General features: G+C 43.2%; 1 protein-coding gene and 1 long non-coding RNA gene across 10 annotated transcripts in view, besides 3 other annotated features; one reads left to right on the forward strand and one right to left on the reverse strand.

The window, feature by feature from the left end:
* Window positions 1-672: 672 nt before the first annotated feature.
* Window positions 673-6,908, reverse strand: LOC124904033 (uncharacterized). The gene is made up of 2 exons (XR_007065854.1): window positions 4,779-6,908; window positions 673-1,504 (listed from the first exon to the last, which is right to left on the reverse strand). It is a non-coding gene; the product is annotated as an uncharacterized LOC124904033 (long non-coding RNA).
* Window positions 6,698-7,037: a silencer, noted in NCBI's record as "silent region_8729". NCBI's record gives its function as "represses an Ori minimal core promoter by ATAC-STARR-seq in GM12878 lymphoblastoid cells {active_cell/tissue: GM12878}" and the evidence as "EXISTENCE:reporter gene assay evidence [ECO:0000049][PMID:35858748]".
* The window catches only part of TOM1L1 (target of myb1 like 1 membrane trafficking protein), a 61,105-nt gene continuing 51,722 nt past the window's right edge, over window positions 7,023-16,405 (forward strand). For 5 of the 9 annotated variants that reach the window (XR_243612.4, NM_005486.3, XM_047435068.1 and 2 more), the window contains exons 1-3: window positions 7,023-7,094; window positions 9,879-9,963; window positions 11,660-11,738. Coding sequence is in view for 5 of the 9 variants with exons in the window: in NM_005486.3 (NP_005477.2) it covers window positions 7,037-7,094; window positions 9,879-9,963; window positions 11,660-11,738 (222 nt within the window). In the remaining 4 variants the exon portion in view is untranslated. Of the gene's footprint in view, window positions 7,095-9,878; window positions 9,964-11,659; window positions 11,739-12,949; window positions 12,958-16,405 lie in introns of all 9 variants that reach the window. The other 4 variants (NM_001321175.2, NM_001321176.2, XM_047435069.1 and 1 more) reach the window with 4 other exon arrangements.
* Window positions 7,118-7,227: an enhancer, noted in NCBI's record as "active region_12405". NCBI's record gives its function as "activates an Ori minimal core promoter by ATAC-STARR-seq in GM12878 lymphoblastoid cells {active_cell/tissue: GM12878}" and the evidence as "EXISTENCE:reporter gene assay evidence [ECO:0000049][PMID:35858748]".
* Window positions 7,248-7,337: an enhancer, noted in NCBI's record as "active region_12406". NCBI's record gives its function as "activates an Ori minimal core promoter by ATAC-STARR-seq in GM12878 lymphoblastoid cells {active_cell/tissue: GM12878}" and the evidence as "EXISTENCE:reporter gene assay evidence [ECO:0000049][PMID:35858748]".

The following is a 16,405-nucleotide window of genomic DNA, read 5'->3' on the forward strand; positions in this document are numbered from 1 at the left end:
TTTCAGATTATAAACAGTGTTATAAAGGACATAACCAAGATGATATGATGGAAAACAGGAAACAGAAGCCTACTTTAAGCTTTGGGCTCCAACAGTTATTGAACACCAAGGACATGCCAGGCATTTATTAAGAGCATTCAAATGTCAACTCATTTAATCTTGAGACCTACTTTTTGAGATATGTTCAATTAGTTCCATTGTTGCAGATAAAGAAACTAAGGTTCTGAAATAGTGATTTGTCTGTCAAAGATCAATTAGTAAATGGTAGCCCTGGGATTAGAACCAAATTTGACATTGAAATTAAATGTGTTTCCCTTGCTGTACACCCCTTCCTTCAAGGCTTTCCTGCAAGACAAACCTCAAAGCAGCTAGCCTTTCACAACCCCTGCCGCAAAATCCCAGCTCATGGTCTCTTTTTAGAGCCCCACTCCTATGAGACCTTTTTCAATTGAACCGATCACCAAGTTGCACATTATTCATAACATGCTAGCAGAAGCCAAATGTGTAATTATACTGACGCTAGTAGGTACCGATAGGACCTTCTTTTCCCAAACAGCATCTTTAAGTAGTGGCTTTTAGAGAGACACTGCCAAACTTCAAAAGGCCATTTTCTAATAGTGAAAATTTTAGGCCACCTGGTAGATTGGAAGGATAAATGATCACAATAACTAGTTAATATTTATTGAGCTTTATTATATGCCCAGAATCATTCCAAGTGCTATAAATATAATATCTTGTTATTTTTCAAAGCAACCCTATGAATTCGAAATTATTTTTTACCACCTGACAGCTGATTTGAGCCCAGTTAATCTGATTTGCAGACTAAAGCTAGCATCCCAAAGGAACACACAGGAATTAAATGACAAACCCCAAATGAGTTGTATGCACCGATGATATTATAAAACTCACAGAAAGCTGGTTGGCTTGGATTTTGAAAATATTGATTCCTTTGGTTTATTTTCCAGATAAAACTTTGGTTTTAAGCCTCACAGGAATCCACTGAGATGACAAATTTAACCAACAGATACCCTTTAGTTCCCTCTCTCAATGGAGCTTTTTAATTGTACAGATGAGAGAAACCAATGAACCTGTTTTTGTGATTTAAAGATTAATGTCTGGAGAATAATTGTGGTTTAAAATCAATCAACAAACTTCTGGTTGGCATTGATGCATAAGGAGCACTGGGCTTGTTGCTTCAGATACTCTCCAAGATCAGCCACAGATCCTTGCTGGTGGGGATGGCAGGGGCTGGCAGTGTGATGCAATGGAAAAAGGCTTAAGCTTGGAAATGAGAAAAACCCAAATTCACCTCCATATTCAGAGTGACTTTAGGTAAGTTAGTTAATGAAATGAGAGTAATTATTTTTTAAAAAATAATTCTGAAGTTTATTGGAGATACCAAAGCACTTTGTACAGTGCTTGGCACAGTAAGAAGTCAACAACTGTTCCCCTCTTCACTCTTCCTGTGCCTTGTCCTCTCTCATCTTGGGTCTCTGAGTTCAGCCTGAAACCCATAAAGACAGAACAAAACAGCCCTGGGGTTGGGGTGGGGAGAAACCCTCTCGTGTGAAGCTGATGGAGGGTTATCCTAAGAGCTGGAAAAGAAAGGCTGTTCTTTAATTTCCACAATCAGGAGTTGCAAAGATATAGTATATTAAGAAATAACTGGAAATAGGCTGGATGTGGCTCAGGCCTATAATCCCAACATTTTGGGAGGCTGTGAGGTTGGAGGATCACTTGAGCTCAGGAGTTCAAGACCAGACTGGGTAACATAGTAAGAACTCATCTCTGTCTGTCTGTCTGTCTGTCTCTCTCTCTCTCTCTATATATATATATAACTGGAAATACAGTGAACATATATTATGTACATGTGGTTTTCAAAAACAATGGGCAAGAAATTGTGCAAAAGAAGGTCCATTTTAAGGAGAAATAATATGTCTTTAAATGCACAGGGATTTGATTGTGTTCAGGAAAGCGTGAACTTCAATCTAGTTTCATCCCTAAACAGTATTAAGGCTTTTGACATCGACAATTTCTGGACTGGACAGTGTCCATAGAGAAGAAAAAGCAAGGAGAGAGGTAAAGAAGAACATAGAGAAATCCAGAACTGACTGAAATGAAAGTTGAGGATAACTTCAAGATTTTCTGTTTGGGAATTTATGGTACCTTTAGCCCATCCAGGGACCTTTAAAATTCTTGATGACCTTGAGGCATCCAAGACTAGTTAAATCAGAATCTCTGAGGTGGGACCCAGATATCATTAGTCTTTACAGCAACCCAGAAATTTCTATGCATATGGTTGAGAATGACTGCTATGGTCAAAACAAGTAAGTAAGGTAGGATATTGAGATAATGGAGAAAGAGGATGAGTATAATTCTAGACATACTGAGTTCAAGTTTCAACAAGGCATCCAGGAGGGAATTAAGGGCTGGACCTCAGGAAGGACACAGCAACTTAAGATTTTGAGGAGTCATTCATTAATATATTCAATAAACATCCCTTAGGCTGGGCATGGTGGCTCATGCCTGTAATCCCAGCACTTTGGGGGGCCAAGGTGGGTGGATCACTTGAGGTCAGGAGTTTGAGACCAGCCTGGCCAACATGGTGAAACCCTGTCTCTAATAAAAAGACAAAAATTAGCCAGGCATGGTGGCGTGTGCCTGTAATCCCAGGTACTTGGGAGGCTGAGGCAGGAGAATCGCTTGAACCTGGGAGGCAGAGGTTGCAGTGAGCTGAGATTGCACTACTGCACTCCAGCCTGGGTGATAAAGTGAAACGCCATCTCAGAAAAAAAAAAAAAAATCCCTTAAGGTCTATTGAGTGTCAGGACACCAAGTCCTACAAATGGGTCCTTTTTCTTTGTGGGGCCTATATCTAGGAGGCAGGGAACAGATTTCTAAACAAATCAGTGATATAATATGTTGTGGACTATAAGACAGAAATCTGTACCTGGGACAGAAAAGAAGAGTTAAATTCTTCTGGGAGTTGTCAGAAAAGACTTCATAAAGAAGGGACAAGGAGAAGGTGGGATGAGAGAAATGCAGAAAGAGAAAAAGGCGAACCTCGGAAGTGTGGGAAGACTTACTTAGGTCTAGCAGAATGGAAAGAAAATAAAATCAAATGAAGATCATTGAGAATTAGCAGTCAGAGAGAGAGAGAGAGAAAAAAAAAAAAGTAGGATAGAGAAGTGTCCTGAAAGATAAGGCTGGCTAACAAGGAAGGGCCATCACATGGGTGGTGCAGAGGGTCAAAGAGGATGAGGATGACTATTAAAGCTGAAGATCACATAGCTATGAAAGTTAGTTTTTATAGTGGGAGAGTTGGGGGAGAGAGTAGGTAGTGTTTGGAACTAGACCCACGGAAAAAGAGAAGGATAATGAGAAGGCTAGTGGATACACTATGGGGAGGGTTATAGGGAGCACATTTAAATATTAAAACAAGGAACAAGCCCGGCGTGGTGGCTCACACCTGTAATCCCAGCACTTTGGGAGGCTGAGGCGGGTGGATCACGTGAGGTCAGGAGTTCGAGACCAAACTGACCAACATGGAGAAACACCGTCTCTACTAAAAATACAAAATTAGCCAAACGTGGTGGCACATGCCTGTAATCCCAGCTACTAGGGAGGCTGAGGCAGGAGAATCGCTTGAACCTGGAGGCAAAGGTTGTGGTGAGCTGAGATTGTGCCATTGCATCCAGCCTGGGCAAGAAGAGTGAAACCCCATCTCAAAAAAAAAAAAACAAAAAAAACAAAAAAAAAAACACAAACACACAACACACAAAAAAACAATCAAATGAGAAGGCAAAAATCTCTTAGCTGCATGAATCATGATGGTGGGTTATCTTTGTTTTCTATACAGGTGTACTTGCCAAGTTCGGTCACTTCTTTCTACAGACACTGCCCCCTAGAACCCACTTCTTTCAAAATGTGAACTAGTGAAGGGCACCACCTACCATCTAGAGCTCTATCCAAGAGGGATGACATAGCACAGCCATTCAAGTCACAGGTTCTGGAATTAGACAGTCCTTCCCTAGCAATGTGACTATGTGAAAAATTATTGACTTATTTCCCCCCCCTTTTTTTCTTGAGATGGAGTCACTCTGTTGCCCAGGCTGGAGAGCAGTGGCGTGACCTCGTCTCACTGCAGTCTCCGCCTCTCGGGTTCAAGCGATTCTCCTGCCTCAGCCTCCCGTGTAGCTGGAATTACAGTCACCTGCCACCATGCCCAGCTAATTTTTGTATTTTTAGTAAAGACAGGGTTTCACCATGTTGGCCAGGCTGGTCTTGAACTCCTGACGTCAGGTGATATGCCTGCCTCGGCCTCCCAAAGTGCTAGGATTACAGGTGTGAGCCACCGCGCCCAGCCATTACTTTGGTTTTTCTAACATGAAAAATAAAGTAATAACCGTACTGGTCTCATAACGTTATTATGTGATTAAATGAGATAACGCATGTAATATGTTTAGAACATATCTGGCATATAGTTCTAGCACAAAAAATATTCGCTATTGAACAAGAACAGAAAAAAAGCAGGACCTTGTGCCAGCAAAGTATATGACTTCCCCTATTCCTGTATTCTTCAAGAGGTCTTGCACTGAATCAAGCAGATCCTTTAAAAAAGCAAGACATCAGGCTCAATAAACAGATTCACCTAGTGACAATAATATAGGCTTTGGAACCAGGCAGCCATGAGTCAAACTTTAGTGAAGCCATTTATAAACTTGATCTTTCTGAATCTCAGATTATATATTTGTAAAAATGAGGTTAATACTACCCACCTCTCAGGATTGTGAAGATTAAGATAGATTTCTAGTTGCAGACACTTAGCACATTTTACATAAATAAATGTTGACTAAGTGTTCTTGGAATTGAAATTGTGGTAAGATTTTACTCCTGGTGTCATTTTACCCCTGTGGGATTCTGCTCCTTCTCTGACCTCAACTTAGCTGTGAATTCTATTGTCCCCGCTGCTAGACTTTACTAACATTAACCACGTTGATTTTCATGCCTGGAGAGAAGAGGGATCATGCAGAACGGAACAGAGTACAGGAAGAGAAGGCTGCAACAACCACCACAACACCCTGGAGGGCACAGGGAGAGAGAAAAACTTCTGCCAGGCATTGCTGAGATAGAACACAGGTAGCACTCATCAACCTTGGTTCTGTTCACCCAAGCATCAAGTCCAGAAGACACTCCTTGCTACTGTTTCTCCTCTTTCTCGGTGCCTCAGTCCTGTCATGTAAGGAAATCAGACATAGGAGAAAAAAACAAAAAAAAAAAAAGAAGAAGAAGAAGACGAAAAGAAAAACCTCCCACATAGAAGTATGTTAAAAATCTATCTCTCTGGATGCTCGGTTCCTTTCTCGTTCTCATTAACTGATAGAAGGCCACTGACACCAACATTGGCCTAAGCTAAAATTGGTTTTCTTTTTCAGAGATTGTAGGTTGATTCTAGGTTGCAGAAAAGGCAAAATATTTTGCTAGAGGCATGGAATACAGATTAGGTTGGTGATGTCACAAAAGAGGTTTTCAACAGTGTCAGCAGAGGCTATAGTGATGAGTAAGGAAGTTGATAAACGGCAACATCTGAAATAGCTACTCGCCCTGAATAGGCAGGTGGAGAATATTAGTTACACGTGGGACAAATCCCATTATGAGACATATCATCACAACAAGAATATTTCATTCTAGATTTTAGAATCCCAGGTTTTGGCTCACTTTGGTCAAGAAAAATTATAAATAATTGAGTTACAGATAATTAAATGTTAGCCTCCTGGAGTGCATGGCAATTGGTTTTGACCTCTATATTAAAATTCACAAGACCACGGACATAAGTCAAAACAGGTCCCCTTCGTCTCCCTAGTCACCATCTCCAGGGCTAAAAAACAGACTTGAAATGGGTGGCAGTTAGACTACAGGAAACAGGATCTACAAGCACCAGGAGCTCATCTATGGCTATCTGACATCGCCTGGGGACACCTCACTCTCTGGCAGGCTCCTGCTGGCTGGAGATTGTTAACATCGCCAATCAGATGTTAATTGAATGCAAAGGAATAGGAAATAAATTCTGGTTCTGAAGGGGCAGCTGGAAAGGTGTTGGGCTTCTCAGATTCCAACCTACATTACAAAGCAGGCCTAAAGCCAAGCATACTCCTTGCCAGAAGAAACGGAAAGCCCCTCTCCCGTTTTTAGAATCAGGCTGGAAAACACGGCTCCCAGAAGGTGGGGTTAGAAAACAAGAGCTTGCGAGGCGGCGCCCTGTGGTCCCTCGAGGAAATAGTAGAGAGACAAAGAGGGCCTGCTCCTGGGAAGCCCTAAATTCGAAGCCAATCCTTCCTCCTAGACATGACCACAACTTTAAAGGGCAGGGCGCACACCTCCCCTCCCGGATCTCTAGGACAAAGGCAGGTCGAGGGTAAATATTTCTAGTTATTCAGTATATTCAGTGGCTAACTATTTATTTTGTGGGTACCAGACACCGACATAATCGGTTACGTCCTTCCCTTAATTCTCATAATTCTGAGGTTTGTGTTATTAACCCCCTATTATCTTTGGTCTACCCAGGGCAGCCAAAGAGGCGCAGAGAAGAATGACAAGGTGCCCAGCAAGCGGCAGGATCAAAGCCTGGGTCTCTAATTCCCAGGCTGGAGATTCTGGGCTGCCTGCTCCTCCTGCACGGGGCGAAAAGCCCACCTGGGATCCGAGCGGGCGGCCGCGCCACTCTCGCAGGCTCCATACACCCGCCACTACCCGCCTGTACCACCTGCAGCCGGCAGCGCAGCCTCCTCGCGGGTCCCGCAGGGCGCGCTGCAGGTGCGCTGGGCGTCCCGAAGCCCCGCCCTCGCGTCCCTGCCCCGCGCCCAGCTCCTCACGCTCGGTGCCCGCGCCCCGCAGCGGCAGCGCAGAACGCACCGCCTCTGCCAGAGCCCGGGAAGCGCTCGGGCGAAGAGGAGGAGCCAAGGGTACCGAGCGGGTGGAGTCGGGAGCCGGAGAGCGGTGGAGGCGGATTTCCTGGGCCCGGCCCTCTGGCGCTACCATGGCGTTTGGCAAGAGTCACCGGGATCCCTACGCGACCTCCGTGGGCCACCTCATAGGTAAGGAGGCGCGGGGAGAGACGCCCAGGCAGGCAGGGGACCGTGGGATCCTTTCCTGCTTGATCCATTCTCGGCCTGCAGAGGACGGAGTTAGTCCAACTTGAAAAAATTATTCCCCTCCCCCCGCAACTTTCCCAAGGCACCCGCATTCCACCCGGCCCCCTTTCGTCGTTTCCTTCTTGGCCAACTCACTGTAGAACCTCAGTCCTCAAAAATGTACCTTCCTTTCGATGCCGCCTGGGGAGTGGAACCAAACAGGTGAACCGCGGGAGTCAGGCATGGAGTGTTTGGGCCTCCACGAGGAGACACCAGAAACTTCTCGGTAGGGGAAGTTATTCCTAAAGGCACATTCTCCAGGGCACGGTATTGTTATGCCCGTTTTACAGATCAGAAGAGGAGGCTCTGGGAGACTAAGTGATGTGGCCTTACTGTGAGGGGCAGGTCTCCCCAAACCAGTTTTCTCTAGTGCCAAGCTTATACAACCTGGATTACTTTTCTGGGTAAACAAAGAGAATGAAAATGCTTGGCATTGGAGTGAAGAGGAGGGGAACATAGGAGCCATCTGGGGCCACGGAGGTCTCTCGCAGGCCACTAGGGACTACACCAGCATCCACCTAAATGATTTCTCTCTCCTCCGGATGTACCTTGCATGATGTATGTAGAAGCCAGTGATTGGACTCCTACCAGCACCAGCTCACTGCTCCTTCTTTTCCCTGATTCCTCCCTTGGGAATTGGGTGTGGCACGAGTGCATATTAATGCCAGGCAAAGTGTGATGATGTCAGGAACTTAGTGGGGTGATGAAATCGTGAGAACCTAGTAGTTGTAGTAAAGAGGCCCAGATTTGGAAAATTTAGATCACAGCTCTACTAACTGCTGTGACACCGAACACACCACTTAAACAGAACCTTAGTTTACACATCCTTATAAGATGGTCAGAGTAGCTACCATTGAGGAGATGCTTTCCCTTAATGGCTGTGCTTTTTTGGATATTAGAATGAACCCCAAGCAGAAATGGATTCAGACTGTGTCTTCATAGGCAAACGAAACTTCAGCAGTTCTTCTGCTTAATTTTTTAATTCTGTAAACATGGACTAACTGTCAGCTATGTGCCTGGACCTGGATCAGGCACTGGTGAGGCCAAGGTGAGACGTGGTCTCAAACCTGAGGGAACTCACTTTCTTGTAGAGAAGACGGGCACAGTTTTGTGTGGCACCTTTGCAATGCAAGAAAATGCAAAACACACAAAACTTAGGAGAAGGGAGAAATGAATTCTGCGTGGCTTTTGAAGGGTGAATAGGAGTTTTCTTTTCTAGGGAGGTAAGCTTTGTCCATTCGGTGCCAGATTCAAGTTTTTTGTTGTTGTTGTTTTGTTTTTGTTTTTGTTTTTGTTTTGAGACGGGGAGTGACACCCAGGCTGGAGTGCAGTAGCTCTCGGCACACTGCAACCTCCGCCTACCGGGTTCAAGCACTTCTCCTTCCTCAGCCTCCCGAGTAGCTGGGACTACAGGCACATGCCACCACGCCAGGCTAATTTTTGTATTTTTAGTAGAGATGGAGTTTCACCATGCTGGCCAGGCTGGTCTCGACCTCCTGACCTCAGGTGATCTACCCACCTCGGCCTCCCAAAGTGATTGGGATTACAGGCGGGAGCCACCGGGCCCCGCCTCAAGTGGTTCTTTTCCTGGATTGAAAGCAAGCTAAACTTTGGGGTTCCCCCAAGCAAGTCCTTATTCTTCCCCTTCTCTATCTTTTTTGTTTTTTTCTCCATTTCCCCCAGAACCCGGTGTTTTCATGCTTAGGGATCTTGTCCTTCTCTTAGGAAGATGTTAGCGCATTCATACTGAGTGTTCCATTACCCTTTCCAGATAACATCTTGTATTCTTAAAGCGGCTGTCTGGAGAGGGAAAGATGCCTGATTATCTAATCATAGGGTTCCAAGTGCAGAAGCATTCTGGTCAGCCTGGTGCAGCTGTGGTTAGTTTAGATGCTTATTATTATTAGTTCGGATAGTTATCCAGCGCCAGTTTGAAATAATTAAGGCTGAAAGTAAAAGTGTATGCAATGGAAGTTTTTACATAGTTGAGGTAAGCAGTGTCTTTGCAAGTATTGGTTGAAGTTATAATAATTGGTAAAATTAGAAGGAATCGTGAGATTAAGATGATAGGACAATAAACGTATTACTTTTATTTGGAGTTGTGCCAATGTTTTGGCTCCTAAGAACAACGGATTACTTCTCTCCTTTAAAAGTTCTTTCCTCCTGTCCCCCCAGAGAATAAATTATTTTTAAAAACAAACAGTGGGACCAAACAACCTAGATTTGAATGCCAATTCTACTTCATACTGACTGTATAACTTTGGTAATTTCCTAACCTCTCTGAACTTCTATCTCATCATCTCTCACAGTGGGTTAAATGAAATTGCGTATGATAAAATACTTAGCACTATGCAGTTCACCTTCTAGGTAGCTGCTCACTAAGCCCTAGTTCCCTTCTCTGAAAGCCAGGCAGGCGGAGATTTAGCTGGCCTGGCCTGGGCCTGTGGCCAGCTGTTGTGCTTGAGGTCTTTATTAATAGGTCACTCATTACTGTTGCTGCAGCAGCACTCTGAACTTGGGTTCTGATTGATTCCTGAATTACTGAGAACTGTTCCAAAAAAAATCACTTTGCCCTTTGGCAATGTAAACTTAATGACACTTGCTGGTGCAGCCTAGGCAGATTATTTCAGGAATACCAGACATTTTTTATTCTGTTGTAGCTCAGACTCAACAGCTTTTTCTTGGCAGAAAAGGCTACATTTGCTGGAGTTCAGACTGAAGATTGGGGCCAGTTCATGCACATCTGTGACATAATTAACACTACCCAGGATGGGTGAGTACAGCATGGTTTCCATGTATTTGCCTCTGACAAGAAGCATCAGAACTACAGCACGTTTTCTCTTGCAAATATTTCGGTTTTGTTGTTGAAAGAGTGTTTTCATCATTCATTAGGCACCCTCTATCTTTTGAAGACTTGTCAGGTTGAAATATTGGGGCAGCTGCTTGCTTCAACATGTGGAGTATCCATAAATCCACTATAATTTTTCTCCTCTTGGCAGTTTCTTTAATAGTTTCAAATTTTGTCACTGTGAAGCTCAAATTCCTTCCTTCTAAAAGATTGAAAAAGGCCGGGCGCAGTGGCTCACGCCTGTAATCCCAGCACTTTGGGAGGCCGAGGCGGGCGGATCATGAGGTCGGGAGATGGAGACCATCCTGGCTAACACGTTGAAACCCCATCTCTACTAAAAAATACAAAAAAAATTAGCCAGGCATGGTGGCGGGTGCCTGTAGTACCAGCTACTTGGGAGGCTGAGGCAGGAGAATGGCGTGAGCCTGGGAGGTGGAGCTTGCAGTGAGCAGAGATCATGCCACTGCACTCCAGCCTGGGTAACAAAGCAAGACTCTATCTCAAAAAAAAAAAAAAAAAAAAAATTGAAAAAGAGAGATTGTGTCCTTCTTTAGGAATATCTCCAGCTCCCAGTGCCAGTATTTGATGAAACCATCAAATATTATCAAGAAGCTGGTTGACTCCCGGTGGTGACCTATTTCTGAGCAATTATTTCTAGTAACCAGGAAACAATCTAGCAGTCTTTTTTCCTCCCTGTCCCAGGACAATTTTTTTCCTTCTGAATGTCAACTCACCCATGTTTAAGCTGTATTCTTATAGCATGTGCTATCGTTTGTTCTTAAACTTCTTAAACTTTCGAGAATCGAAGTTATAAGAAAAAAGTCATTAAGAAGAGCAAACTGGTTTGCTTGTAGTCAATTACAAGTTATTCTAAGGAACACAATTCTGGTAATTTTCCTGGGCATATTAAAGTGATAACTGGCAGTAAAAGAGATTTAGTCTAGCTTATGTTGATAAAGAAAACATCAAACTTAATTATTGATTATAAATAAATGGAAAGCGCTTATGGTTAGTACTTTTAAGTGTGTATGGTTTTTTTCCTATAATCCTATTTACCATGTTTAGTTCCTCTGGGAACATTTTCATTGATAATACCAATTCATTGATAATACAAAAAGAGAATCTTAAAGTAAATTTGGACCCTTATAAACAGTCCTTTCTTTGTAACATAAAATTGTGGCGTATTGGCAGCTGACCTAGTTTGTTGTAATTCCTGTTACATCCCCTTGTCTATAGGGTGCTCAGGAAATACTAATAGTTTTAATAAAAATGGTAACATTCATTGTTTCGGAAGTTGCATTTCCTATAAGTTGGTTCTGTGCATTGATAGAGGGATACAGGAATGAGTGCATTTCATGGGTAGTACTTTCTAGGTAATAGTCTTGTACGAAAATATTTTATTTGATTCTCATAAGGGGTTAGGTGGTATTGTCTGCCTGTATGCGTGAAGAAATTTAGGTTCAAGAAGTTAAGTCATTCGCATAGGGTCCCACAGTAGAACCAAGGCCTTAGTTTTCTGCTCCTTAGCCATTCCTCTCTCCAAATGCATGTTGCTTTTCAGAGAGACTGCTTGTTTTCAGCAATGCCTAAATTGGTGATTTCAGTGTATTTATTGCTATAGGCCAAAAGATGCAGTGAAAGCTTTGAAGAAAAGGATTTCCAAAAACTACAATCATAAAGAAATCCAACTTACCTTGTCAGTAAGTACTTTAATTTTATAATTAAGACTCGAGGATTTCTCAAGCTATAGTTACATTTTTAATCCTGGGTAAAAAATAAGAAGCAAGTATTCTGAGAAAACTAATAGGTTAGCTAGGAGTTGTGTACAGTATGACTTAAAACTCTTCATTTATGAGAATTGCAGAATAAAGAAAGTTTAGTTGTTTATAATAGCATTTAATAGCATTTAATTTCATGGAAGGAGCTTGTTCCTGAAAAATCAATTTTTCTTGGTCAGGAGATAGGAATTAGTGGTTAACATGTATTACACATGGTGAACTGATCAAGAAGTTTGTGTAGTGGCTGGGTGTGGTGGCTCCTGCCTATAATCCTAGCACTTTGGGAGGCCGAGGTGGGATGATCGCTTGAGCCCAGGAGTTTGAGAACAGCCTGGGCAAGATGGTGAGAGCCCGTCTCTACAAAATGTTTAAAAATTAGCCAGATGTGGTGGCCTGCATCTGTAGTCCCAGCCACTTAGGAGGCTGAGGCAGGACAATCACTTGAGCCCAGGAATTCAAGATGGCAACGAGCTATGATCATGCCACTGCAACTCAGCCTGAGTGATAAAGAGAAACCTCAACTCTTAAAAAAAAAGTTTGTGGCTGGGTACGGTGGCTCACACCTGTAATCCCAGCACTTCGGGAGGCCGAGGCAGGTGGATCACCTGAGGTCAGAAGTTCGAGACCAGCCTGACCAATATGGTGAAACCCCGTCTCTACTAAAAATACAAAAAGTAGCAGGGCGTGGTGGCGTGTGCCTGTAGTCCCAGCTACTTGGGAGTCTGAGACAGGAGAATTGCCTGAACCTGGGAGGTGGAGATTGCGGTGAGTCGAGATCGCACCACTGTCCTCCAGTCCTCCAGCTTGAGCAACAGAGCAAGACTCCTTCTCAAAAAAAAAAAAAAAAAGTTTGTGCATGTATTAATTAACCATAATTTAAGATGAGGAGAATTGAAATTTTGAAAAATACCTCCCTGTAAGCTTTCTGCCTTACTTGAACAGCTTTGTGGAATCCTGAGATGCTCTCAGCTCATTAAATTCCAAACAAGTTCTGCTGCCTGGCGTGATTTGGAGAATGTTCTATGTTGGTTTAAGCAATTCTCCTGTGTGTTGTATTGTCTGTGATTTAAGTGTGGACTCTTATTTGATGTGTTCCCATTTTCCCACCATCCTTGGCAATATGACCTCTTCAGTCACGTTGGTGAGTTGTCCTTTTTACTTTAGTATGTGTTGCAAGCCCTGCCTGCTGCCTGAGAGTGAGCTGTGTAGCTTTCTGATTTATTCTGCACGCCTTTGTTTATCTCAGCCCAGCCCAAGACTGTGCATGGTCACGGCACTAATCAGCCAACATCACGCTGCGTTAGGAGCATTAGTCTTTATCAAGAGGACTTTGGGGCATATGTGAGCATAGCTCCTGGTTTCTAGTTACATGAAGAAGAAAATGGACATCTTGCATAGGCTCGCTGAATAAGCAGAAATGCTGTGAACGGTCTTCATGATTTGATCATTAAAGAAACCCTTCACATTGGGATCTGAATATAGTTTTAGAGGCATTTTCCCCCTTCACCTTTTTTTTTTTTTTTTGACCTCTTACCTGTCCTTAACTCTTGAAGGTCACAGAATGGAGAAGACGGGAGAGAGGAGTGAGGCACTTCTGTAGAAATCCCAGAATGATGGGTCACTGATAGAAATGCCTGGCACCTGACCAATGCTCTTGACAACCCTGTGAAGTAGTTCTATTATTAACTCCATTTAACAGATGAAGAAATTGAGACTAACAGAAACAGATTTATTTCCGAGATGAAAATGGCTATTACATAGCATAGGCAAGATTTGATCCCAGTCCTCAGATTCTAAATTCCATGCCCTTGCCTCATGCCACTTTGTTTCTAAGAACGAATCAAGCCTCTTAAAAGAGTAGGCTACTGTGTTTCCTTTATGTCTTTAGTTTCTTCCTGTGTAGTACAGGGCCAGGTATATCAGATGTTGACTGGATTAATGATTAAGCACCCCACCCTCATACACACACCTAATCCCGTCTCTCCTAGTATCCGGGAAGACTCAAGGGCTAATGGAAGGTACTGTAGAACCGGAGTAGAAAGATGTGTAGATGTACCCTCAAATATAGTATATCTGGGATATCTCAAGGGTGCCAAAGGTTAGGAGAATTGAGTAAGGAAGAGAAGGGCAGAAGATGAATTTATGCCCCCTTCTCTATTTCAGCATGGGGTATTATTATTTTGCTTTTTACAGGTGTTCACCATTCATAACAATTTGCCGCTTTCTCCATTGTGCCCAGCCTACTTGATGTTTCAGTGGTTGCTTCTTAATCCCACCTCCATATCTTCTTCCATCATGGTTCCCTCCCTGTGACGACGGACCAGGGACCCTCCTTGAGGAAGTTGGGCTATTCCAGAGTGTTGTGCCTCTGGCCCTCTGTTTCTCTTTGGGCTTCCACTCTTCCTTCTCATCAGGTAGTCTAATCTGCTCGCTGCCTTTCCCATTATCTGTTCCACCTCAGATCTGTAGCTCCCTTACCTCGTGGTTTCTGTCCAATCTAAAGCCTGTGCCTAAAAACAGGCAAGAGTCACAAGTCATAGGTCAGAATACACCTTCATCCTTGGGGTCACAGTACATTAAAGTCAGGAAAAACATCTGGCTTTTCCTTGGATTTTCTTTAAATAGGCCTTTGACTCTTCATATCTTCATGCTGATTTCCCTGAGTTGTGTATTTAATGGTCTAGTCACCTCGTCTCAGACTACTCACTGCCTTGCAGAGGTATGCTTAAGGCCTCAGAACTGACTTTAATATTCACGTAAGCCAAATTTAATTATGAGGGAAATTAGTCACAGGAGTCACCTATGTCTGTCAAAAGCAATTATAAGTTTACCAGTAAACTCTTTAAAATGTAATCCCTATATATGACATTTCCATTTTATTAATGTAAAGTGATGAGAGCCTGTCAAATTCGATTATAAATATTCTTTATGTTATCTGTCATGTTGAGTTCTCCGTGGACGTGTTAGCCTTGATTGGGCTTTGACGGAACCTGACTGTACTATGATTTCCTACCATCAGTCGGTGGAGCAGTTTTGTTTTGTGTTTCAGCAGAATTTTGTTACCAGGCTTTATTACTCTGAGCCAGAGAGTATTCTGTTCTTGAATGAGTCAATTGTGATAAATCTCAGCAAGAGGCTACTATTATTGTCAAATGGAAAGTGGTCGAACAGGTTCCTGAGAATCAATTAGTTAATAGGCCTTTGTGGAGCACCCCCTAAGCAGTGAGCTTCAGGGGTTTCATAAAATGTGTAAAATGTGGTTGAAAATAATAATGAAGAAAAAGCTTGGTTTATTCTCCTTTGGCAAATTTACCAGTGAAACAAAATATCAGGCTGGGTGCAGTGGCTCATGCCTGTAATCCCAGCACTTTGGGAGGCCGAGGAGGGTAGATCACTTCAGGTCAGGAGTTAGAGACCAGCCTGGGCAACATGGTAATACCCTGTCTCTACTGAAAATACAAAAACTAGCCAGTCATGGTGGCATGTGACTGTAATCCCAGCTACTCGGGAGGCTGAGGCAGGAAAATTGCTTGAACCCAGGAGGCGGAGGTTGCAGTGAGCCTAGATTGTGCCAGTGCACTCCAGCCTGGGTGACAAAGCGAGACTCTGTATCCAAGCAAAACAAAGCAAAACAAAACCATGTGGTTGTCCCCCCAGGAGCTTGTTGCAGTTGGAGGGAGTGAGAAGACTGAGGCCTGTCCTAGGGGTGTCATCATAGAGTGGGGTAGTCACCTTGGTGTAGGCACTATTCACGGCCCAGGTGTAGCTCTGATGGCCCTGAAACCTGGTTGTTGTCACTCTGCCTGGTTTGGAAATTTACAGTGAGAAAACTGTCAACTACCTCTTTTTCTTCCAGCCCTCTCTTAAAATACTTAGATCAGCTAATCATCACATTCACTCCTGCTAGGAAGTTCTCCATGGAAGATGATCTAAATAGTTGCCATGTATTGAGGTCCTGCTTTGTGGCAGGCTCTTTGTTATGTTTCATTTGGGCCTTACAACAAGTCTCTAGAGGGAGATATTATGTCCATTTTGCAGATAAGGACACTGAAGCTTAGGATAAGTGATTTGCCCAGCCAAGCCCAAAAGATCAGTGAAGCCTGGAGTCACCCACTTCAGTCTTTGTTCCTTGGCTCCTGAGTTTTCAATCCCACCTCAGATTATGGATTCTTATTTGTCTTATTTCGAAAGATGGGTTATCTGAACACATTTGCATCAAAGTTCAATTTCAGAATATGTGAAAACATATTTAATTTTTCCAATTTGCCACGTAGGTTTTATTACTTATCTGAGTGAGTTGGAGGGTGAAAGAGGTTCTGGTGACATAATAGAGGAGGTGATGTAGAATTAATTAGTCCTGACATTCTTGATTCTAATGGGAAAACACAAAAGGCATGACTGCTAATCTCCAGATGTTCACATTTTTAGCATTTCATGTTGACTCTTTGATTTTGTGCATGTACCTCCTGGGAGTCTTACCCATTATCATAAAATCTTGTGGCACCAAAGATAAAAATTAGTTTGTGAGGGCCAGGTGCAGTGGTTCATGCCTGTAATCCCAGCACTTTGGGAGGCCGGGGTGGATGGAT

Source organism: Homo sapiens, chromosome 17 (genome assembly GCF_000001405.40).
Source record: "Homo sapiens chromosome 17, GRCh38.p14 Primary Assembly".
In the NCBI taxonomy this organism is placed as follows: domain Eukaryota; kingdom Metazoa; phylum Chordata; class Mammalia; order Primates; family Hominidae; genus Homo; species Homo sapiens.